Source organism: Homo sapiens, chromosome 22 (genome assembly GCF_000001405.40).
Source record: "Homo sapiens chromosome 22, GRCh38.p14 Primary Assembly".
NCBI classification, from domain to species: domain Eukaryota; kingdom Metazoa; phylum Chordata; class Mammalia; order Primates; family Hominidae; genus Homo; species Homo sapiens.
The window spans coordinates 21,495,157-21,518,971 of NC_000022.11; the positions used below are offsets into that span (position 1 = coordinate 21,495,157).

Sequence of the window (23,815 nt, forward strand, 5' to 3'; positions counted from 1 at the left end):
CCACCGTGCCCAGCCAAAAGTATTACTTTTAAAACCCTAAAAATACAAAGGGCAGAAATGATGCAGAGACATGGATGAACCTCACAGTCGTGGCACTGAGTGGAAGAAGACTTTTGCGAGAGTACAGACTGCATGACTCCATTTACATCAAGTTCTAGAATAGGCAAAACGGACTGAGGGTAAAAACCAGAGCAGAACAGGCTGTGAGCGACAGGTGAGGACTGTCCAGGATGGGGCGAGGGACAAGCGCCCACTGCCTGGCCCTGACAGGCCTATCCAGGACGGGGCATGAGGAACTCTTTGGGGTGAGGGCAGCTCTCTAGCTTGCTGGGAATCTGGGTTAAGGTAAATGAAAATACAATTTTAGGCCCTTAATTGTATGTAAACTTTACTTCCAATGAAACCTCCAGACAGAGGCTTTCACAGGACATTCTCATCTCAGAAGCTCAGCACGATACCCTGGAAACACCACCAGCTAACCTTTCCTGGGCACTGTTGTATGCCCGACCATGTGCTATGTCACTGGAGCCGCAGGGCCACCCAGGAGCCTGTGCGTTCTGTCCATGTGATCAGGTGGGCTCCTCTCAATCTTCACACAGCACAGCTGAGCCTCAAACCCAGCACTCACCCTGACCTCTCACCTCCCCACAAGGTAGGAAAACCTGGGGCTGAAAGTGTGCAGGGACATGTCATCTTTAGCCTTGGGCAAAGGCAACCCTTCCCACTGATGATTTCCAGATCACCCAGGGGTATTGGTTCTGCCTCAATTTTCCAACTGGCACAGAGATCAAGGGCGACGGTGAAGCAGATTGGAAGGGCAAAGACGCCACGGTGGGAACAGGTTCCTATCCCTCCCGGCTGCTCCCCAGCTGGGTGGCCCTCAGTGCATCTCCAGAGGGCAGTCAAAAGCCCCAGGCCAAGACCACCCTGCACTCTGGATCCCTCTACTCGCTCACCAAACACAGACCAGCCAAATAACCAACGGGGATGGCAGAGGCCAGGGCACTGTGCACCCCTCGCTGCCTCCTGACACTCGAAGCAGCCCCCCATTGGGGGACCCACTAGCCCATGATCCTACGCGAGCGAGGTCAGGCCACACCTGCCCGTGTGTGGAGCCTCTGGTCAGTCCACGTGGCTGCAGGGGCCTGTGGGGAGGCTGGAACAGGGTTACCTCAAGGCCTTTCTTCTAAGCACCCAGCAAAGGGCAGGAGAGTGTGCTCTAGTCAGCATCTTTCAAAGGCCAGGAGAGAGGAGGTTTTCAGATCAAAGTGATCCCTGCTGAGGCAGAAAGCAGAAAACTCCAGCCCCAATTCTGAGAGGCACTGCCCCAACCCAGCCTGGATACCCACCTTGCCTAGAACCTTGGCCTCCAAGAAGCCAGGCATTCAGAACTGCTCCAGGTGCTGGGCCTCCACATGGCTCCTTCTGGAGGCCATGACTCTGGGAGACAGGAACACATCTCACGCCCACGTCCAGGCCCACAGGCGGGGGTCAAACTCAGGGTCAAACTCATCTCAGCCACATGATACCCCTGCCTTCAGACTGAAACTTCTGGCTCACGCCCAGCCAGGAGGGAGGCCTGGGGAGAAGGGTGAAGACCAGGAAAGGGCGCCACCCCAAGCAGGCCATCCCGCCTAGCCCTCCTAGGATCCTTCTCATCCACCTTCCTCCCTGGAAGCTATCCTTTACTACCAAGAAAGGGGCTTCCTGCAGGAGGCCTGGAGCTATGCTGGAGGACTGAGGAGAAGCTCCCCCCAGCCCACTCCCAAGGAGCAGCACCTTAACCACCTCCCAGCCTAAACAAAAGTAACAGTGAAATGAGAACCCTCCAGCTGACGCCAAGACAGCTGAGAGTGAGCAGGGCCGCCCACGGCCCGCCCGAGCTCCACTGTCAGGTGGGAGGGACAAGCATGCCAGGCTGAGAAGCCATGCTAGGCAGGGCAGGGCCACCAGGCAACTTCCACAACCCAGAGGTCTAAGTACATCTGACCAGGGTCAGAGAGAGCCCCAGACTTGCTGCCACTGCTCCCAAACTTCAGTCTAAGGTCAGCATCGGCCCTGGTTCCAGACCAACCCCCAACTATAGTCACCTCATACTTCAGGTGTGGCCGGGACAGATGCAGCTGCAACGGGTGGCCCTGTGTGAGCTCAGCCTCTTCCCAGGAGCCCCTAAGCCATGGGAGAGACTGCCTGGAAGGCACAAGGCAGCCAGGCAGGAGGCAGCCAGTATCCAGAAGTGCCCCAAGGCCCAGCCCCTGGACACACCAACCAGCCCTGCACAGTCACAAGCCCAGGACTTTGTTCATCCTATCCCCATGGCCTGGAGTCCTCCCTGAGGAAGCCTTGGTAGACAAGAGATAGCTCCAAGGGGCGAAGGCTGCACCTCGCCCACCGCCACAGCCCTGTATGAGATGGCAGCCTACATGTGGGCAGGTCTGATCTCCTCAATCTTCCCACAGGCCCAGTGAGCGGGGCGTTATCTCTGCAGTTTCAGATAAGAAATTAAAGGTTCTTGGGGGTTAAGCAACTTGCCCAGGGTCACAAGAGCATGTAGGTAGCAGAGTGAGGACCTAAAGCCTGACTCCAGAGTTGTAGTCTGATGACCCCCCCGCCCAACGCAGGCAGGGCCAGGGATGCCACTCACACATGGCTTCCAACTGCCAAGCTGCTTGGGGGAGCTAGAGGAGGCACCGCCCTCCATGCACTGGTGTGCCAGGAGCAGGGACTCCAGTCTGCACCTCCACCCTCACTCCCCCACCCCCCAGCACCACCTGCCTATCCACAGCAGGGCCCCACCTGGGTGTATTCTCCCAAACTCACTGTGAGGGCATGGGGTCTGCCCAGCTCCTCCACCAGAAGTGACAAGGTGGAGCCCCCATGCAGCCTGCTTTGGAGGCCCAGGTTGTGCTTGCTGCTCCTCTGGGAACACCCCCACCCTCCATGACCTCCTTCCCTGTCCCTTCAGGAATGGGCTGGTGGTGGGTGGGGCTCACTGCTCTGGGCAAGCCCAGCCATGTAATCCAGCCCAGACCTGGATGCCGGCCAGCAGCTCCTGGCTCTCCTCCCAGACCATCCTCCTGGAAAGCAACAGGCTCCACAAATGCCAGGAGCCCAGCTCTCTCCAACGCAGCTTCTACAAAATAAACACTCGGGTTCCACTCAACACATTGGTGATGCAGCGATTGGGACCTGAGGCTGGCCTCCTCCTCCTCTGCTCCTCAGGCCAGCCCTGTGGCCTAAAGTGAGGGAGGTAGCATCCACCCCAGCCCAGTGACTTTCCCAAGCCCATCCTGAAATGCCCATGGGACCTACTGATGACCTCGTACTGCCCACAGCAGGGCCAAGCCCTGCATGGTCCGAGCCACCCGCCCATGGGTACTGTCCCTTCTGAGGTGAGGAAGCCCGGGCTAACACCCCAGCACAAGGAAAAGGCTGGAATGGGCTGCTGAGAGGAGAGCTGGACCGAAAGTGCCTCCAAACTGTGCTTCCCCCAGAAGGTACAGCCTCAGTCCCCTCCCTCTCCTCATCACTTCCGGGTTTGGAGCCAGCAAGGAATGAGGCCAGGAAGACCTTGGAGACCTGCAGCTGATTTCCCCTGCTAGTGCTGGCACCAAGGAGGGCCCCAGGCCTGGCACAGTCTGGCTGACAGTTCTGAGACAGGATATTGGAGACAGGCAGGGGAACATTGCTTTAAGAAGCAGAATAACGGCCAGGTGCGGTCTGTAATCCCAGCACTCCGGGAGGCTGACATGGGTGGATCATGAGGTCAGGAGATCAAGACCATCCTGGCTAACACTGTGAAACCCCATCTCTACTAAAAATACAAAAAATTAGCTGGGTGTGGTGGCACGCGCCTGTAGTTCCGCTACTCCGGAGGCTGAGGCAGAATTGCTTGACCCTGGGAGGCGGAGCTTGCAGTGAGCCGAGATCGCGCCACTGCACTCCAGCCTGGGTGACAGAGTGAGACTCTGTCTCAAAAAAAAGAAGCAGAATAACAATTTAAGGTTGTGATAGTGACTACGAATGCTGTGCTCACCTCCAAACTCCATCCCAACACTACCCTGCCCCCTAAGAGGGGCCTGAGCATGGGGTAAAAGGCTCGCTGACAGCCACAGAGCAGGAGCCCACGCAAGACCACCAGAGGATGTGCAGCCGCTGTTCCTAGTAGGTGAGGAAAAAGCAGGAATCTGGCATCCACACATGTCAGGAGGCAAAACAGGCCCTGTGCTGGTTTCTGCAGTCCTCTCCAGCCCACTTCCCTGCTCTTCTTGCTCACTGGCCATGACCCAAGAAACAGCAGCAGCACCACCAGGGATCTTGTTAGACACGCAGAGGCTCAGACTCCATCCAGCCCTAACCACCAGAACCCTGGGGGCTCAAACACACAGTCAAGTCTGAGAAGGGTTAGGTTAGAAGCTTTTTTTCCTTCTTTTGTTTTTACCTGGACACCACTGATTGGAAAGCTCTCTACGGCCTGAAAGCCAAGCGCTCCACAAGTAGTAAACGCTCAAGGGATGGGCATCAAGTGGAAGGAGAAAGCCCCCAAAACGAAGATACATGTCCCATGTACACAAGCTCACAGGCTGGTGAATACAAACGGTAGACCTAGAATGTGCCACACCAAGGCTGAGCGTGTTACCACAGGTACCAGAATGGTGACCACGCTGGAGGGTTCCACAAACCCTGATCAGAGAAGTAGGCGTGAGTGGCAGGCAGAGAACACAGCTCTGTGTGGCAGGGAGGGAGGACAAGCAGTGGCAGCACAGCAGACAACAGGTGGAAATTCTACATGAAAGGCACTAAATGGGCGAGGAAAGCCTGGGCCGCCCAGGTGGAAGGGACTATCGTGATCATCTCTCTCACCCTAGGGACACCTTAAAAGGAGGTAACTGAGCCCCAAAGGGAGGCACCCAGCACAGCTGAGTCACAGAGCTGCAGCCATCCAACCCACAGCTCCAGGAGGGACTCTCCAACTTCACAATTTCAAAATCAACCCTAGCAGCTAACAATTTCTTAATGCCAAGTAAAGACTAGAATTAGAAACAAACAGAAACCCTATCATCTTCTACCATCATTACTTCACAAAAGAAAACATTTCAATGATCAAAGAGCAGGAAGAACTACTGGCAGTCCTGCACCTATGCAGTTCTCCAGGCCTGGCAAAGGCTCTGAGGCAACCAGCATGAAGGAGCCACTGCACCGTCTGTACGCAACACCGCCTGACCCCCGGGCTGGGACAAGACTGAGATGACATGCTGAAAGGGAATCAGAAAAAACAAAAACACAAAAATTCAACAACAGATACTAAAGACGGGATTTTGACTAGCCAAACAAAGACTAAAAGAGTATCTCCCAGGGATGAAAGGAAAATGGGGATGTTTTTAAACAAGACCAGGACTGTTCCAGAAACAATAAGAACGTCAAAGCCCATCAGGAAAAAGGTAACACCAAATGTTGGCCAGGCAGTAAGGCAACCAGAAGTCTCACATACTTTATAATTTTTTATTTTTTTGAGAGAGAGTCTTGCTCTGTCACCCAAGCTGGAGTGCAGTGGCGAGATGGCTCACTGCAACCTTCGCCTCCCAGGTTCAAGCAATTCTCCTGCCTCAGCCTCCCGAGTAGCTGGGATTACAGAAGTGCAGTGCGCCACCACCCGCAGATAATTTTTGTATTTTTCGTAGAGATGGGGTTTCACCATGTTGGCCAGGCTGGTCTCCAACTCCTGGCCTCAAGTGATCTGCCCATCTCAGCCTCCCAAAGTACTGAGATTACAGGCATAAGCCACCGCACCTGGCCAGAAAACTCACATGGTTTAGAAAACCCTTGGATGGCACAATCTAAAACTGTGGGCCCAAGGCCGTGGGTGGTGGCTCACGCCTGTGATCTCAGCACTTTGTGAGGCCAAGGTGGGTGGATCGCCTGAGGTCAGGAGTTTGAGACCAGCCTGGCAAACATGGTGAAACCCCGTCTCTACTAAAAATACAAAAATTAGTCGGGCGTGGTGGCAGGCTCCTGTAATCCCAGCTATTTGGGAGGCTGACGCAGGAGAATCACTTGAACCCAGGAGGCAGAGCTTGCAGTGAGCTGAGACTGCGCCACTGCACTCCAGCCTGGGCGACAAGAGCCAACTTCGTCTCTAAATAAATAAAGCCAACAAGCTAGCTAGCTAGCTAGCTAGCTAGCTAGCTGTGGGCCCAAAAACTCACCCAAGGTATACGCCAACAAGAATGCACACGTAATGCACACCAAACAGGCAGGCACACTCATGAAGGCCCAACAATGGAAAACAACTATGCCCACCCTGAGAAGGGACAGCTGCAGGTATAAAAGACTATGAGCCAGCAGTGAACAGGACAGAACGTTTAGGTTGAACTGTATGAATTTACCTTTTAGGGGTAAAAAAACAGCTGGCTGCTGATAATTTCACATGGTTTGACTTACAAACAACGCAGATGAATCTCTCAAATATACTTTTGAGCAAAGATGCCAGAGCCAAAAAGACTATTACAGTTCCATTTGCATACATTCAAAAGCAGGCAGCACTAATCTTATGGGTGGGGGTTGAGAGTGACTACAAGCTTCAGGATACGTGAGGGGCTTCCAGGGTTGTGTTTCGCACTCTGGATGCTAGTTACAAGGGCATAATCATTTGTGAAGAACTCTTGGAGCTGTGCACACTTCTTACGTAGGCTGTCCTTGAATTCAATACGTGCACAGAAACCTTCAGAAGGGAAGCAGAGATCAACTTCATCCTGATCAGCAAGTAGACTCAGTCCAGGCAGCAACCTCTCCTGGACCCCCAACCAATAACAACAACACAGGAAGCAAAATATTGGCAGGACAGCTGGCAACGCGGCAATGTCCAGGATGGAGTGCCCATCCTAGAGGAGGGAGCTCACACAAGCCAGCCAGGAGCCCACAGGAAACAGAGAGACTACTGTAAATCCTTATTAAGAGCAGACTCATCTCTGCTATCTAAAAGATAAAAACCTGATAATGTTTTTAAGTTGTCCTAAGGTCCAATTGACTTTTTTTTTTTTTTTTTTCAGACAGAGTTTTCCTCTTGTTGCCCAGGCTAGAGTGCCATGGTGCAATCTCGGCTCACCGCAACCTCCGCCTCCCGGGTTCAAGCGACTGTCCTGCCTCAGCCTCCCGAGTAGCTGGGATTCCAAGTGTGCACCACCATACCTGGCTAATTTTGTATTTTTAGTAGAGACGGGGTTTCTCCATGTTGGTCAGGCTGGCCTGGAACTCCCGACCTCAGGTGATCCGCCCGCCTCGGCCTCCCAAAAGTGCTGGGATTATAGGCGTGAGCCACCACACCCAGCCCCAGTTGACACTTCTAAAGGAGAAGGGGTTCTGCAAATCCTGAAAGGCAAGCCCAGGAGAAACAGGAAATCTGGGAGCACGGCAAGCGAGGTTCAAACAGGACACCAAATAATTCCCAGCAACCGCCTCCAGCAGGTCCTGGTGGCAGCCAGGTAGGGCAGGAGCCGGCTGGGCATATCAAAGGGAGGAAGCCAAGAAGAAAATGGGCGAGACTCTCAGGGATTTGGGGTCAAAGGAAGCCGCTGGGAGAAGGAAACAGCCCACTTGCTCCTTCATAGGTAATCAACACACAAACCCCCCAGTGCCTCAAATGGCTCAGGAGCTACAGCCAAAGATCAAGGATCAAGTTATTTTACTCCAAGAAAGAAAAAAAAAAAAAAAGTTATACGTTCGGCATCCATTGGAAGTTTTGTGATTGTTTGGAGACAGGGTCTTGCTCTGTGGCCCAGGCTGGAGTGCAGTGGCGCGATCATAGCTCTAATTTCTGGGCTCAAGGGATCCTCCCGTCTCAGCCTTTTGAGTAGCTGGAACTAAAGGTGCATGCCACGATGCCCAACCAATTTTTAAAATTTTTTGTAGAGATGAGGTCTCACTATGTTTTCCAGACTGGCCTCAAACTCCTGGGCTCAAGTGATCCTCCTGCCTCAGCCTTCCAAAATGTTGGGATTACAGGTGTGAGCCACTGTGCCAGGCCTTAAAAAGCAATTTTTACAGATAAAATTGGGCAACTGCTATGGAAAATATTACAATCTATGGTCCTGTGCCTGAAAAGCCTCCAAGTGTGATACTTTATAGAGAAGAGGTCTCTCCTGTCCAGTAGGTAACTTGAAAGTGTCTAAGAGACAAGTGCCCAAGAACTCAAAGAATGAGAGAGGGATCCATTCAAACTCAGGGAGAAAAATGCTCACAAAGTTTCACTGTACTTCTAAACTGAGTCTCAGTGGTGCATTAAGGAACTGGATTTAGAGACAGAAAACAAAATAAACTGGCACTTCTCTGCCTCAAGAAGCATAGCTTGGGGGTGAAAAGTCAGCTACTTAGAAGGCAGCAAAAACAAAACCCAGAAACCCACCCAAATGCTCACTGCCAGCAGGACAGGTGATTATGTGTGGATGGCGCCACCTTGGACACTGAAATGGAGAATGGGAACACAGGAACTGCTGCTCCTGGTGTCCCAAGAGTGCAGGACACCCGGCTCCCAGCGAACTGAGCCAAAATCATTCGCAGTTTCAGGATCCAGACAAAGGTGGGAAACCGACAAAAGCCAGCGAATGGCTGACCCGCAATTCAGAAGACTGTTGGCTTCTAGAGGGAAGTGGGAATAAGCCAGGGAGAAGTGCATGAGGTGTCCCAGGAACTTGGGAGGCTATTTCTTATGTGGCCATGAGGGAACAACGGTGTCACGCTTAGTGGGACACCCACGATTCAACCAATAGTAGGTTTACCACTACTTATCTCTCTATTCTTTAAGATTTGTGCACACACATATATACATGTAATTTACCTTTGTTTTTTTTTTTTTTTTTTTTGAGTCTTCCTCTGTCGCCCAGGCTGGAGTGCAGTGACACAATCTCGGCTCACTGCGACCTCTGCTGCCCGGGTTCAAGCGACTGTCCTGCCTCAGCCTCCCGAGTAGCTGGGGATTACAGGCACCCATCACCACACCCAGCTAATTTTTGTGGTAGAGACAGGGTTTCACCATCTTGGCCAGGCTGGTCTCAAACTCCTGACCTCAAGTGATCCGCCTGCCTCGGCCTCCCAAAGTGCTGGGATTACAGGCGTGAGCCACCATGCCCGGCCTATTTACACCTTTGTAAATAACTTCTTAGAGTTCAATGGCTAAGTCTACTAAGGAAGCTGAGCCTGCTCTGTGCAGAAGTCTCAAAAGAAAGGAAAGTCGGGTGTGGTGGTTCATGCCTTTAATCTGAGCACTTTGGGAGATTGAGGCAGGAGGATCGCTTGAGCCCAGGAGTTCAAGACCAGCCTGGGCAACACGGCAAGACCCTGTCTCATTTAAAAAACAAACAAACAAACAAACAAAAAAACAGAGAGAGAGAAAGAGAGAAAAGAAAGAGAAAAAAGAAAGAGGAAAGAGACCTCCCTGGAAATCCCAATCCAGGGAGAAGCCAAGAGGCTAAAGCTGAGGTGCACTCACAGAGCACCTCCCTTTCACCACCCGAGAGATCACCTGGTCCACAGCCGTCAAACTCAGCAAGGCCACACACTTGGGCAGCTATGACAACAATGCACAAATGAGGGCTTTGGAGGGCTCAGTTCCCACAAGAGATAACCCAGAAAATATCACCCTGTCCTAATCATACAAAGCAAAAGAACCTGGGGCCTCCACACCTGGGGTAGCAGGTATGCTTCACTCAACAGAAGTTGTCCAGGAGGGAGAAATCCCAGGCAACCTCCCAAGGTCTACAGGAGAAAGAAGGGCAGAATCAGAGCCACTCTAAGTGAAAATATCAGCGTTTAGAACACAGTCACCCCCCTGCAACCCCTCCAGCCAACCCTCGCCTAGTCCCTGTACCCTCCAATTCAGAGTCCAATAACCCTGAGTTATCTTTCTCAACACCCATCTCATCAAGCCACTCCCCTGCTTAAAGCTTTCAATGGGCCGGGCATGGTGGCTCACACCTTTAATCCCAGCACTTTGGGAGGCCCAGGCGGGCAGATCATCTGATGTCTGGAGTTTGAGACCAGCCTGACCAACATGGAGAAACCCCATCTCTATTAAAAATACAAAATTAGCTGGGCATGGTGGCGCATGCCTGTAATCCCAGCTACTCAGGAGGCTGAGGCAGGAGAATCACTTGAACCCGGGAGGAGGAAGTTGCAGTGAGCCAAGATCGCGCCATTGCACTCCAGCCTGGGCAACAAGAGTGAAACTCTATCTCAAAATACAAAAAAAAAAAATTAAAAAAATAAATAAAGCTTTCAATAAATTCCTGATGCCTAGCATAAAGTCCATGCTCAGGCCTGGCATGCAAAGCACTTCCCACAGGGGCATCAAGCCCACCTCATCCCTTCCACAGACACACCTGAGAGCTCCTGCAGGCCGTGCCCTACTCTGGGAGGAGCCTGCCCCCTCACGACTCCCTCCTCTGTGAAGCCAGAACTGCCTCTGTTGTCCCCCCGCTTCCAACGTCAGCACCAGCTGCCAAGCTGCTTCCCTCCTGCCTACCCCCACCACCCCATAGACCAGTACCCAAAGTTAGACCCTGTGTCCCAAGCAGCCACAGCAGCAGGCATGCAGCAGGCACTCATAAACATTCATTAGGTGAGCAAATGCTGGTCAGACCCAATGCTGAGAAGAGACAGAGTGAAACAACATGTGAAAGATAAGGAGGCACGTGGGGAAGATGGAAATGTCCAGTACCCTCCTTGCCACTGGTTCTAAAATTGTGTTGTTTACATTCTTAAATAGTCAGGGCTCCTAACGAGCATCTGCTTATGTGGCTTCTCTATTACTGTTTTGTGGGGTTTTTTCTGAGACAGGGTCCTGCTCTGTCACCCAAGCTGAAGTGCGGTGGTACAATCATAGCTCACTGCAACCTCGAACTCCTGGCTTCAAGCCATCCTGCAGCCTCAGCCTCCCAAAGTGCTGGGATTACAGGTGTGAGCCACTGCATCTGGGCTGTTGCTGTATTTGATGTTACCATGTACTACAACAGTGCCCTCTTATTCAGTTTTTTTTTTTTTTTTTCTGAGACGGAGTCTCGCTCTGTGGCCCAGGCTGGAGTGCAGTGGCGTGATCTCGGCTCACTGCAAGCTCCGCCTCCCGGGTTCACGCCATTCTCCTGCCTCGGCCTCCCGAGTATCTGGGACTACAAGCGCCCGCCACCGCGCCTGGCTAATTTCTTTTTGTATTTTTAGTAGAGACGGGGTTTCACCGTGTTAGCCAGGATGGTCTCGATCTCCTGACCTCGTGATCTGCCGCCTCAGCCTCCCAAAGTGCTGAGATTACAGGCGTGAGCCACCGTGCCCGGCCAAAAAAATTTTTTTTAAAGGCTGAGCACAGTGGCTCACGCCTGTAGTCCCAGCACTTTGGGAGGCTGAGGTAGGTGGATCACTTGAGGTCTGGAGTTCGAGACCAGCCTGGCCAACATGGTGAAACCCCATCTCTACTAAAAATACAAAAAATTAGCCAAGCGTGGTGGCAGGTGCCTGTAATCCCAACTACTTGGGAGGCTGAAGCAGGAGAATGGCTTTACCCCAGGGGAGGGTGTGGGGTGGAGGTTGCAGTGAGCCAAGATTGTGCCATTGCATTCCAGCCTGGGCAACAAGAGCGAAACTCTGTCTTAAAAAAAAAAATAGGCTGGACGCAGTGGCTCATGCCTGTAATCCTAGCACTTTGGGAGGCCGACGCGGGTGGATCACCTGAGGTCAGGAGTTTGAGACCAGCCTGCCCAACAGGGTGAAATACAAAAATTAGCCAAATGTGTTGGTGCATGCCTGTAATCCCAGCTACTGGGGAGGCTGAGGCAGGAGAATCACTTGAACCTGGGGGAAGCAGAGGTTGCAGTGAGCCAAGATCACGCCATTGCACTCCAGCCTGGACAAGAGCAAAACTCCCTCTCAAAAAAAAAAAACAACAACATTTAAAAAAATACAAAAATTAGCTGGGCGTGGTGACAGGTGCCTGTAATCCCAGCTACTCAGGAGGCTGAGGCAGCAGAATCCCTTGAACCCAGGAGACGGAGGTTGCAGTAAGGAGAGATTGTGCCACTGCACTCCAGCCTGGGTGATAAGAGTGAGACTCTATCCGAAAAACAAAACAAAAAAAGGGCTGGGCACGGTAGTTCACACTTGCAATCCCAGCACTCTGGGAGGCCGAGGCGGGCGGATCACGAGGTCAAGAGATCCACACCATCCTGGCCAACAGGTGAAACCCCATCTCTACTAAAAAATATATATATACATACAAAAATTAGCTAGGTGTGGTGGCGCGCACCTGTAGTCCCAGCTAGCTAGAAGGCCGAGGCAGGCAAATCACTTGAACCCGGGAGGTGGGGGTTGCAGTGAGCAGAGATCGCGCCACTGCACTCTAGCCTGGCGACAGAGCGAGACTGTCTCAAAAAAAAAAAAAAAAAGAAAAGAAAAGAAAAAAAGAAGGATAGCATTGCTTTACACTTTTATAAATCTCTTTAATGTCTAGCCTAATAGAAGAAGCTGGATTCTCATATCTCCTGCATTCAGTCTGTTAGGATATGCGGTTTTGATTAAAGTCTTTAAAGAAATTTGGCCTTACACAGAAAGAAGGAAGGAGTATTTTAATAACTTTTTCAGAAAACTGTCTATTCTTCATTGATATTACACTAAAGCTCGACAAATGAGTTTCTTAAAAGTTGCTATGGGCCAGGCGCGGTGGCTCACGCCTGCAATCCCAGCACTTCGGGAGGCTGAGGCAGGTGGATCACTTGAGGTCAGGAGTTCAAGACCAGTCTCGCTAACGTGGTGAAATCCCGTCTCTACTAAAAATACAAAAATTAGCCAGGTGTGGTGGCAAGCGCCTGTAATCCCAGCTACTCAGGAGGCTGAAGCAGGAGAATTGCGCAACTGCACTCCAGACTAGCAACAGAGCAAGACTCCGCTTCAAGGAAAAACATAAATAAAAGTTGCTATGTAGGCCAGGTACGGTGGCTCACATCTGTAATCCCAGCACTTTGGGAGGCTGAGGTGGGCGATCACAAGGTCAGGAGTTTGAGACCAGCCTGACCAACATGGAGATACCCAGTCTCTACTAAAAATACAAAAATTAGCCGGGTGTGGTGGCACGTGCCTATAATCTCAGCTACTTGGGAGGCTGAGGCAATAGAATTGCTTGAACCCGGGAAGCAGAGGTTGCAGTGACCCAAGATCGTGCCACTGTACTCCAGCCTGGGCAACAGAGACTCCATCTCAAAAAAAAAAAAAACAAAGTTGCTATGTAGGCTGGGCACAGTGGCTCAACACCTGTAATCCCAACACTTTAGGAGGTCGTGGTAGGAGGACTGCCTGAGCCTAGGAGTTCAAGACCAGGAAGATCCCATCTCTGGAAAAAAAAAAAAAAAAAAATAGCTGGCTGTGGTGGCGCATGACTGTGGTCCTAACTACTCGGGAGGCTTATGCAGGAGGATCATTTGAGCCCAGAAGGTGAGGCTGCACTGAGCCGTGATTACATCATCACTGCACTCCAGCCTAGGCAACTGAGGGAGACCACATCGCCAAAAAAAAATTAAAAATAAAAAAAAAATTGTAAAGCCTCATGCCGGGCATGGTGGCTAATACCTGTAATCCCAGCACTTCCGGAGGCCAGGGCGGGTGGATCACCTGAGGTCAGGAGTTCAAGACCAGCCTGGCCAACATGGCGAAACCCAGACTTTATTAAAACTAGACAAAATTACACCAGGCGTGGTGGCTAATGCCTGTAATCCCAGCACTTCGGGAGGCTGAGGCGGGCGGATCACGAGGTCAGAAGTTCGAGACCAGCCTGACCAACATGGTGAAACCCCATCTCTACTAAAAATGCAAAAATTAGCTGGGCATGGAGGCGCATGCCTGTAATCCCAGCTACTCGGGAGGCTGAGGCAGGAGAATCGCTTGAACCCAGGAGGCGGAGGTTGCAGTGAGCGAGATCCCACCACTGCACTCCAGCCTGGGCGACAGGGAAAGACTCCGTCTCAAAAAAAAAAAAAAAGAAAAAATTAACCAGGCGTGGTGGCAGGCGCCTGTAATCCCAGCTACTCGGGAGGCTGGGGTAGGAGAATCGCTTGAACCCAGGAGGCGGAGGTTGCAGTCAGCGAGATCGCACCACTGCACTCCAGCCTGGGCGACAGGGCAAGACTCCGTCTCAAAAAAAAAAAAAAAAAAGAAAAAATTAACCAGGCGTGGTGGCGGGTGCCTGTAATCCCAGTTACTCGGGAGGCTGAGGCACGAGAATGACTTGAACCCAGGAGGCGGAGGTTGCAGTGAACTGAGATTGCGCCACTGCACTCCAGCCTAGGCAACAGCGAGACTCCATCTCAAAAAAAAAAAGCCTCATGCATCCTTCCTATTTCATCACACAGAAAAGTAAAAATATGTGTAATTAAAGGTCTAGATTTAATACTCAGTCATCTGTACTGCCTCCCCTGGACATGTGTAGAACTGGTGGGTCTCAGCCCCCAGTGCTGGCTAACAGTGGGGAACACAACTCTGGCAGTGCAAGTGTCCACCCAGGGCAGAGGCCAGTGATTTTTTTTTTTTTTTTTTTTTAGATGGAGTCTCGCTCTGTCACCCAGGCTGGAGTGCAGTGGCAAAATCTTGGCTCACTGCAACCTCCGCCTCCCAGGTTCAAGCCATTCTCCTGCCTCAGCCTCCTGAGTAGCTGGGACTACAGGCGTGCGCCACCACACCCAGCTAATTTTTGTATTTTTAGGAGAGGCGGGGTTTCACCATGTTGGCCAGGCTGATCTGGAACTCCCAACCTCAGGTGATCCGCCCGCCTTGGCCTCCTAAAGTGCTGGGATTACAGGCGTGGGCCACCGCATCTGACCTTGTAACTTCTAAATATACTGAAAAAGGTATCGGGGACCCTCAGGGTCTGCAAACAACTTTGAGAATAGCTGACAAGCACTGCCTCAAATATTTCTAACAACTCGTTTACAGGCAAGGAGAATGAGGCCTGGAGAGCTTAAGAGACTGGCCCACGGAGGAAGCAGGAGTCATCTTTCCACAAAACTACACTTCCCCAAAAGCTGAACTCTTGGACAAGGAGCCCACTGCCAAACCTAAGAGTAACAAATTTCAGCAAATAAAAGGAAGTGCCATTTCCAATGGCATCCTCGAATACTCTAAGAGGTGGGGCTGGCAGAATCCATCAACAGGCCTCCAGAGGCCTGCTACTAAGAGCCAGCAACGCTGCTGAAAGCGGCACTGCCTCTGCAGGCTGTGTGACCAGGACCCGGCGGGGGCCCTGCACCTGGAAGCAGAGGGGGTCGGTGGGGGAGGGGTGCTACCAGGAAGCAAGATGTGCATGCTGCCTGCTGGGGGCATGAAGTCAAAGTCCCCTCCTGCCCAAAGTGGCTAGGCCAGCCCTAGGCTGCCTTATCAGCATCAACACATGCCTGGAATGTGGGACTTTGGCAACAACCCTCTCCCTTCGGCCAGCACGGGGCTGACGCCTGGTCCCTGGGCTCTGGTTCACAGTCAGAGGACAACCACCTTGAAGCACCAGAACCCGCACCCCCAGCCCATCTACCAGAAGACAATCTACCAAGAGTCACCGAGAGGAGCTATCCTGCCTGTGTCCCCACACCACCAAGGGCCATGTCTGAGCACCTCGTTTGTCCACACTCAGAGAATCTCAAGAGCTCGGCTCTGGTCCCTGCAACGTCCAGACCATCCCCCACATGGCTCTCCTGGAGGTGTTCGGCAAAGGCACAGGCTGCCGTGGGGCAGAAGATTCCCACATACCAGACAGTAAGGAGCTGCGTGTGACTGGAAGGATGAGGACGACCCAGAGAACGCTCTCTGGCCCCTGGTCCTTGGGGAGGAATGGGGGACCTGCAGGGGACCACCTTCCCACTCTGGGAGCCAGATTCCCTGGCTTTGTCCAGAGCAGCCAACCCACTACCCCACTCAAAATGAACACCTCAGCTGCCCTCCAGCCCAAGCACTGCGCAGAGTAAGGAGTCCTCACTCACAAATGTGTCCGAGGCTTTCACACACTTCACCTGGAGCTTCGCCACTCACTTCTTAGATGTACGACTCTAACTTCTCTGAGCCACTTGTACAACGAGGACTGACAAAATGATGAGGACCACACCGGTGTGTTCTGACAACTGAACCGGGCATAGAATGCCCACTGCCAGGCTGAGCCCAGGAACGAGCCCAGGATGAGTGCTTACCCTCTTCACCACTACCTTCCTAGCCTTCTGTCAGAACTCCGTGGGGACCATCCTCTTCCCATCTTCTAAGCCAAGTACCCTGGTACAAGCCAGACAGAAACTATAATAGCAGCTGCTTCCATAAAGGGGAAGGGCCATGGGGTCCCGGACAGGGCTGGGGTGAAGGGGCGCAAGACCTAGGGCAGGAATCCACCCCCAGATCACTCACTCAGGACAGGACCACCTGGACCCAGCTACCAAGATGTGCACCACCCCCTTCCTTCTGAGCCCCTTTTCCCATCTCCTCTACTGCCCCTGGCCAGGTTGCTGTCCCATCTCTAAGAGGCAAGATTTCCTACCCAGGATGCTGACCAAAACCACACCCAGGGGCCTACCCGTCCCCTCACATGATAGGCTGCTCCTAGCTGGCAGGAGCCGTCTTATAGCCTCTCTCCCTCAAATACAAACAAAACCCCAGAACAACCTATTGTTCTGTTCCAGCAAAGGGGGCCAGGCCCAGCCAGGCCCTACCTGAAGCTCTCTGTCTCCCGTCCCCCTTCAGTCCCCTCCCACTCTTCCTTCTCTGCCCCTATTAGTGGCCTCATATACCTTGCCCAGATAACACAGCCCAAGAAACCAACCTCAGGGACAAATCTCTTCTCTTCCAGGGAGAAGAAGACAGAGGTCCCAGGAGTCCCAGGGGCCCCCATTACTGGCCACCTCCGCTCAACCCAAACTGCACTATGTGAGGTCCCGCCAGACTACATACAGGCCAACGAGAGCCCAAGAATGCAGCCAGGAAACCAGGCCAGGCAGACTCCAAAAGCCCGTGCTACGGGGTCAGTAGGACCCGCCTACAGCTGAGGGCTATAGGCAGCTCTCCAGAGGACCTCCCAGGAGAAGCCAACAGTGCACATGGGCTAGGTTCCTCCTGCTGTTCACCCTCTGTGCCCAGTAACTACCCAGGAACAGGCATGACTGATTCTGCCAACTCATTCACTGGGTAACCGCTGACCCCACCAGGCCCTCGGAGTAAAGCAGTTAGTGAGAACCGCAGGTAAAAGCGCGGGCTACTCATCCCTCCGCCTGTGGATTCTATTATCAACAAAGATGCATCACCTGCTAGAAGAGCGGTTCTCAAACTTGGCTGCACATCAGGTTCACTTCAAAAGCTTCAGGAAAAGCTAGTGCCTTGGGCCCACCCCAGAGACAGGTATAGCTCAAGGTGAGAACCAGAGCACCAGCAGGCAGGCCTCTGCCAGGCAGCATGGGCAACGTGTGCTGGGTGAATGTGCGGCCTGCACTCATCACCCAGAAGAGCCCCACTGTGTCCACACAAGGACAGGCCACCGAAGTCCCAGTCCCCACTCTCCCTTCTCATTTACTTTGTGAATGAGAGCTCACCAACAGTTTACCGTCTTCCGAGTGCTGCGGCCTCACCGCCCGACCCGCAGCAGGGGTGAGGGCTTGCAAAGGCCATGCAACAGATCCTCCCCCTCAAAGGGGCTCAGGCCTCAGTGTGGTAATGGGAGCGGCCCCTTCCCACACTTGTCAGAGAACCCACCCACCCGGTGGAATGAAGCCGAAGCCCAAGCCGCAGGGCAACAGCCCGGGACGGCAGGGGACAAGTCTGTACAGCAGCCACACCCCTGCCAGAGCCAGGAGCTCTTCCATTTCCACAGCAGGCCAACTCTCACCTGGAAGCACCCACCTAACCAAACCCAATCCCTGCCTTCTTTTAGTCACACTGGGAACTGCCACAAGAAGGCTGGGGACTCCACATACTCCCTCCTCACCACAACCCATGTGTGATCACCCTTAAACAGAAAACATGCACCTAAGATCCTACGATGCGCTGCCCACCTCACAAAAAACCGGTGCCTCTAGGTAAGAGACACCTAGCTGACCCATCCCTGTGCCCTCTCACCATTAGAAGGACCCCCAAGTCCCCCTGTTCTAACACCGAGGCTGCACTCCCACTCTCCACCCACTAACATTACCATAAAAAATAAATTGAATAGTTAGAAGGAGGGGCTCCCCAAAGCCTGGCCACCTTCCCGAGGGTCCCAAGCAGTTTCTTGGAGTCCCTCTCCCCACTCAGTCCCGCCATACCCCTCTCAGGCAGTCTGGCCCTTCCCTCCTGAACTTTGGCGGGCTGGAACCAGCTCCCAGCCTCGCCTCCCTTATCAAGCTCACTGGGGGCCCACACAGAGCTCCCATCCCCACCAGCTTTTCTCGCTTTGCCACTCCCAGCTAAAACTGGGCTCAAGGCAAGCAAGCCTGCAGTCCCTCAGTCCCTCGGGGCCCAGCCCCTCCTCAGAGCCCTCCCCCAGCCCAGGTCCCTAACCCTTAGGGCAAGGCCCCTCCCAGCAGGAAGCGAACCCTGGCGGTGCCAGGCAGAGTCAAACTGGAAGGGCTGGTTCAGAAGCCCCTAAATGGGAGCCAGGACCTCTCTTAGGGAGGGGGCTTTCAGCCCCACTCCTCCCTAGTGCGATCTCAGATCTCTCCAGACACCACACTATATGGGCCTCCACAGGCGGTGGAGTCAAAGGCATTTACCCTCCAGCCCCCAGCAAGCTACTTAACTTCCAAAAGCAGCTCCTTCCCTCCTCCAGAGGAGAACGGGCCGCGTGCTGAACTGCAAGCGCCTCTATCACCCCGCCCAGGCAAGTCTGTGAGCACCAGAAAGCAGGGGCCAACATGACTTGGTCTAAACCAAGGGGGCCAGGCACTGACTTTGCGCTCAGAAAATGTGGCGGAATGAATAAAAAGCTTGAAAAAGAGCCGCATACATGCCTGGCTGGCAGTGGGGTCTCCCAAGCGGGCTTCACAGCTCACACAGTACCCGTGGGTCCGCGTCCTCAGTGCTCTCCAGCTGTCTCCACTGCCACCCTCTACCCTACCACTGCCTTTTAAAACCCAGTAGCAGTCACTTCCTGGTTAAAACCCCTCCCCTCCAGGCCAACCCCAACCCACATGGCATCCAGGGTTCTCAGCCAGCCCACGGCCGGCTCCTCCCACGCCACCGCTATGCCCTCTGCGCTCCGCTAGATGCCAGCCCTTATCACCCCATCTTATAATCATTTGTTGAGTGTCTGCCTTCCCTAGGCTGAGCTCCAGAAAACAGCGATACATGAATGTAAACTCCAGTTCTGTTCCCATTGTAGAAACCAGGCAGGAGAGTCAATCACTGCTCAAGGTCATGACGGGAGTAAATGGCAGAGCCAGCAATGCACTACAGACTTTGCGACCGACCAAGTCCAGTTCCCCTCTCACTGCCCCACAGGGGTCCGTCCTAGGCCAGGCTCGGAGGAGACAAGAAGGGAGGAACCCAATGTGTTCTTTCTTCCCGCGGTGAAAGCTGCCTCCCAGGCCAGCAAGAGCAGCCCAGAAGAAGTGCCCCACTCTCCCAGGGATCAGGTACTGGGGGCAGCGGGCAGGACAAGGTATGGGGTGGGGCTGACTGCTCCAGGCCAACAGACCAAGCAATAAGGTTGGAACCACAAGTCCCCTGGGTAAACTGAACTTTATTCCTTCCTCACGGCTCTCACTCTCCAGAACTGCCCCGCCAGCTCTTCTCCAGGGGCTGGCTGCTGATTAAATGGCACTTCCCCACCCCTCAGATCTGACCCCGCAAACAATAAGGACTTGAGGGGAGGCGGCAGGCTATCAGCTCAATAATGCAAAACCCTGTTGCTCCTCGTCCACAACAGCTGACTTCAAGTGGATGGGAGGCTGCGCTTATTAACAAAATGAGAAATCTGATCTACGGAAAGAAAACACTACGTGAGGATTAATCCGCGACTGCAGCTTGTGGAGAAGGCTGGGCTGCTGGCCAAGACCAAGGATCGAGGATGGGATCGTGCCTACCTGTCCCCAGAGCAGGTATCATGCAGCACAACAGGACTCATCACCCCTGCCCCACCTGCGCCTTCTCTTCTCCTTCCAGCAACTTCGACAATCATTTCGGTTTTGCTTTAATTAAAGGCCTGACTCCCTCGGGCTGCTTCTTCCTCTACACAGAGGCAGCAACCAGAGGGAGATTTTTCTTTTCAGGAATCGGTCGTAAAAACTCAGTGACTAATCTACAAGTTCCAACAACTGGCAGAAAAACACCGCAGGGAGAGGTTGCTGGGCACACAGCAGCACTCAGAGCCAACTGACCAGAGAAGCTGGGCCACAGGCACTCTACTACAACCTCCCTCCCCCAGCCCGACACTGGCCTGCCGACCCACCTGAGAGCTCTGACCTCCCAAGGCAGGCAGCTGGGGAGCCTCTTCCCAGCCTTCCAAGTCTACTGCTCGTCCTGTGGGACCCAGAGATCTTCACAGTCTCAATGGCACAAGACGGAACGTTCACTTCCAGGCAACAATCCTGGGCCACAGGACTCAGTTCAGCCCCCAAGTATCAGACTCCCGGCCCTGTTCTTGGTGTTCAGAGCCCACTAAACCAGCAGTCTTGCCACACAGCTTTGTCTCCAGAGGCCAGCTCATCTGCTTTTTTTCACACTACTCCAGCAACCCTGCTCCACCAAGCACGCACACTCTCCTTGACACAGGGCTCCAGACCAACCACATGGCCTGTGCTCCTGAAAATGCCTGCCTGAAGGCCCAGGGAGTCCAGACACTGGCAGATGAGAATGGACGAAAAGAAGCCAAGCCAGAAGCCAGGAAGCAATAAATGCTAGACCCAGAAAGGCCTTAGGTTTGAGTGACCCAGCTCCATCCCTCCATCCTGGATCCTTGGAGGACAGCCCCAAGTTCAGCCTAGGAGCTCCCAAGGCCCCTCCACTACCTGCCAGCTCTCCGACAGCACAAGAGACACAGCAATCCCACATCAGTCAACAACCCACCGCCACAGGATTCCTAGGGGCAAGGCTCTGCCCCTCCCCCCAGCACATATGTCAGAGGGGTGGCTTCCCTGGGTTACACCCCTCCTGCTGTTGGGGGAGTGGGGGGTCGGGGAACACAGCTTTCCAGATGTGCTTGGCAACTCCTACTAGAAAAGACTAGGGGTGCGGGGGACAGGAGAAGACATGGATAAATAACTTTAACACCGCTCCAACCCATCCGGCTCAGCACTGGGCTCCCTTACACAGGCAGTCCCAGGCAGTTCTGGGTGGGGCCGTTGGGAGCATTATCTGGCCTCATTCCCTCCTCTCAGCAAGTCACTGCCCCCCAGGGAGAGGCATTCCCCCCCCCCCCCAACCACGCACACACCCAGGCCTGTGTGAATATGAACCATCTTGGAAGATAAACAGAGAGTGACAAGCTGGGGCCCCTCAGCCCCCTCCCTCAGCCAGCCGGTCCCTTCCCCCTGAAAGCCGACCCCCTCCCCCAAGCCCATCTCTCTTCCTGCCAAGCGGCTGCCTACAGGAGAGGTCTGGGGGCAGGGCAGCGAGCCCACCAGCCGCAGAGCCCGGCCCTCTGGGAGCGGCCCCTCCAGGCCCGCCCCTGCCCCTGCCGTGGCCAGTCTTCCCGCGGGGAGGAGGCAAGAGAGGAGACCGCAGACGGTGCAGGACCGCAGTCCTGGAAATCGCAAAATCCTCTAGCGAGGGGGCGGCCGCGGGCGCAGGGCCGTTTGCATAATGGGAGCCCTCCCGCCTGTCAGGCAGCGCAGCTCGCCCGACGCTGTTCGGATTAGATTGCTAATGAAAAGGCACAAAGAGCCGGCGCCCGCTCGCCCGCCGACCCCCGCTCCGCAGACCCGCGCCGCCTGGGCCTGGCGCGGCCCGGTGGGCTTTGTGCCCCGGGTGCCCCACCGCCCGCGCCCCTCCGGGCATCTGGCCCACAAAGCCCGGGCCTGCCAGGGGTCCCGCGTGCGCCCCAGCCCAGGCCCGCCAGACGCTAGCGCGTCCCCCACGCGCGCAGTCCCACGTCGCCCGGGCGCGCGCGCGTCCACGCCCCTCTCCCCGGGGACGCGCCCAGCCCGCGGCCCCGGCCCCCGCCCGCTCCCCGCGACCCCCGCCCCACAAGGCCGCCCCTCACCTCGTGTGCGTCGGCGGCGGCGCTCCGCCCGCCGGCCGGCCGGCCCTACCAGCGGCCCTTGTCCTCAGCGCCCGGCTCGCGCCGCACGCGCCCGCCCCGTCCGCCTGCCGCCAGCCCGGCTCGGCTCCCCGCCTAGCGCGCCCCGAGCGCCGCTCACAGCCGCCCGCCCAGCGCCATCTTGGAAGCTTGTGACGTCGGCGCCGCCCGCTCACCCCTGACCCACATCTGAATGGGCGAGCGGCGGGGCGGGGACAGGGGGCAGCAGCTGGGGGCGTGGCCTGTGAACAGGGGCGGGGCCTGCGGGGGCGGGGCCGGGCCGGACAGCGGTCCCAGCACTAGGCGGGGCGGGCTGCCGGGGTCCGGCGCCGTGGGGGAGGGGTGCGCGGGAGGAGCCGGGGACCCAGACCCCGGACATCTAACCGGACTCCGACCTCAAGCGCCAGGGCAGGACCGCGACCTCGCCCCTGAAATACCCGGACCGCATACCGGCCCCCGGGACAGGGACCCTGGCCCCCCCCGACAGGCTGACGCCCACCCCCTCAAACTCTGGTGGACTTACCCCCTTTTAGCCCTACCCTGACCCCTAGGAGCCCCGAATTAGGGACCTCTATCGGCCTACGCGCCCCCTCCCCGACCCCTTTGCGACCCCTGCTCGACGCTCCCTGCGGTTGCCCGAGGCTCAAAGGCGCAGCCAGCAGTGACTGCAAGCTCGGGGGTCTGGGCTCCTGGGGAAGCCCGGGCTGGTTGGGTGCAAAAGAGAAGGGGCGCCCCTCCCGTGACCCCAGCGCCCCTCGGGCCCCCGCGGGCGCACCCCCGCGAACCCTACCTGCTCCGAGGGCGCGGAGGACCCAGCACGCTGCGCTCAGCCAGCCCCTTCCGGTGGCCGCAGCCCCTCGCAGGCCCCAGGGGTCAAGCGCCTGCCCGAGCCGGCCCACCAGGACCCGGGCTCCCGGCCGCCATGCAGATAGCCTTCCCAGGGGCTGGGCTGGCCTGAGCCGCCACTGCTTCTCTAGGGAGCTAGTTAATGGACCTCTCTCTACTTTGAACACCAAACAAAGGAACACACCACTATCGAGGTCGCCCAAGTCCAAGAGGAGCCCAGGTCTGCCTTACAGGGAAGTTGTGCCCCAGCTCCAGTCAAGATCAAAAACCAGTTTCAATAACCCTTCGCCAAGCTGATGATGCAACCTTTCTTTCCTAATGGATGTATAGGTTTAATGTCATCCTAACAACATTTCTTAGACTTCACAAAATTCTAAGTTCACCTGGAAAAATAAATAGCCGAAAACAGCTATGGTTTTCCCCCCTTGGGAACAAAAGCAGGCATGAGGGTAGACTTGCCCTAACAGATATCAAAACAAATTGTAAAGCTACCGCAGGCATTTCAGTGTGGTACAGAACAGGAAATAGAATAGAAAGCCTAGAAACATCCTAGAAATGGTAAGAACACAATAGATGAAAAAGGAAATATCAAACATCTGTGGAAAAAAAAGAGCTATCAAACATCCCTGAAGAAGAACAAGAATATTCCACAAATAGAGCCTAGCAGAGGACTCACTATTTGAAGGAACGACTGAAAAAAAAAGTCAACCATTCTACTAACCCAAGACATATAAATTAAAACTATAGGCCGGGCGCGGTGGCTCA

General features: G+C 54.6%; 1 pseudogene across 1 annotated transcript in view, besides 3 other annotated features; it reads right to left on the reverse strand.

Moving 5' to 3' along the window:
* PI4KAP2 (phosphatidylinositol 4-kinase alpha pseudogene 2) overlaps nt 1–22,335 on the reverse strand; it is a 44,494-nt pseudogene extending 22,159 nt beyond the window's left edge. The window contains 1 exon segment of the transcript NR_003700.1: nt 22,169–22,335. The product of NR_003700.1 is annotated as a phosphatidylinositol 4-kinase alpha pseudogene 2 (transcript).
* Nucleotides 1,430–1,630: a silencer, noted in NCBI's record as "peak4465 fragment used in MPRA reporter construct". NCBI's record gives its function as "represses an SCP1 promoter by STARR-seq MPRAs in K562 erythroleukemia cells {active_cell/tissue: K562}" and the evidence as "EXISTENCE:reporter gene assay evidence [ECO:0000049][PMID:32103011]".
* Nucleotides 4,050–4,645: an enhancer, noted in NCBI's record as "H3K4me1 hESC enhancer chr22:21853495-21854090 (GRCh37/hg19 assembly coordinates)". NCBI's record gives its function as "activates a minimal SCP1, AML or CMV promoter by ChIP-STARR-seq in primed H9 embryonic stem cells {active_cell/tissue: H9 hESC(primed)}" and the evidence as "EXISTENCE:reporter gene assay evidence [ECO:0000049][PMID:30033119]".
* Nucleotides 15,042–15,639: an enhancer, noted in NCBI's record as "H3K4me1 hESC enhancer chr22:21864487-21865084 (GRCh37/hg19 assembly coordinates)". NCBI's record gives its function as "activates a minimal SCP1, AML or CMV promoter by ChIP-STARR-seq in naive H9 embryonic stem cells {active_cell/tissue: H9 hESC(naive)}" and the evidence as "EXISTENCE:reporter gene assay evidence [ECO:0000049][PMID:30033119]".
* Nucleotides 22,336–23,815: the final 1,480 nt, after the last annotated feature.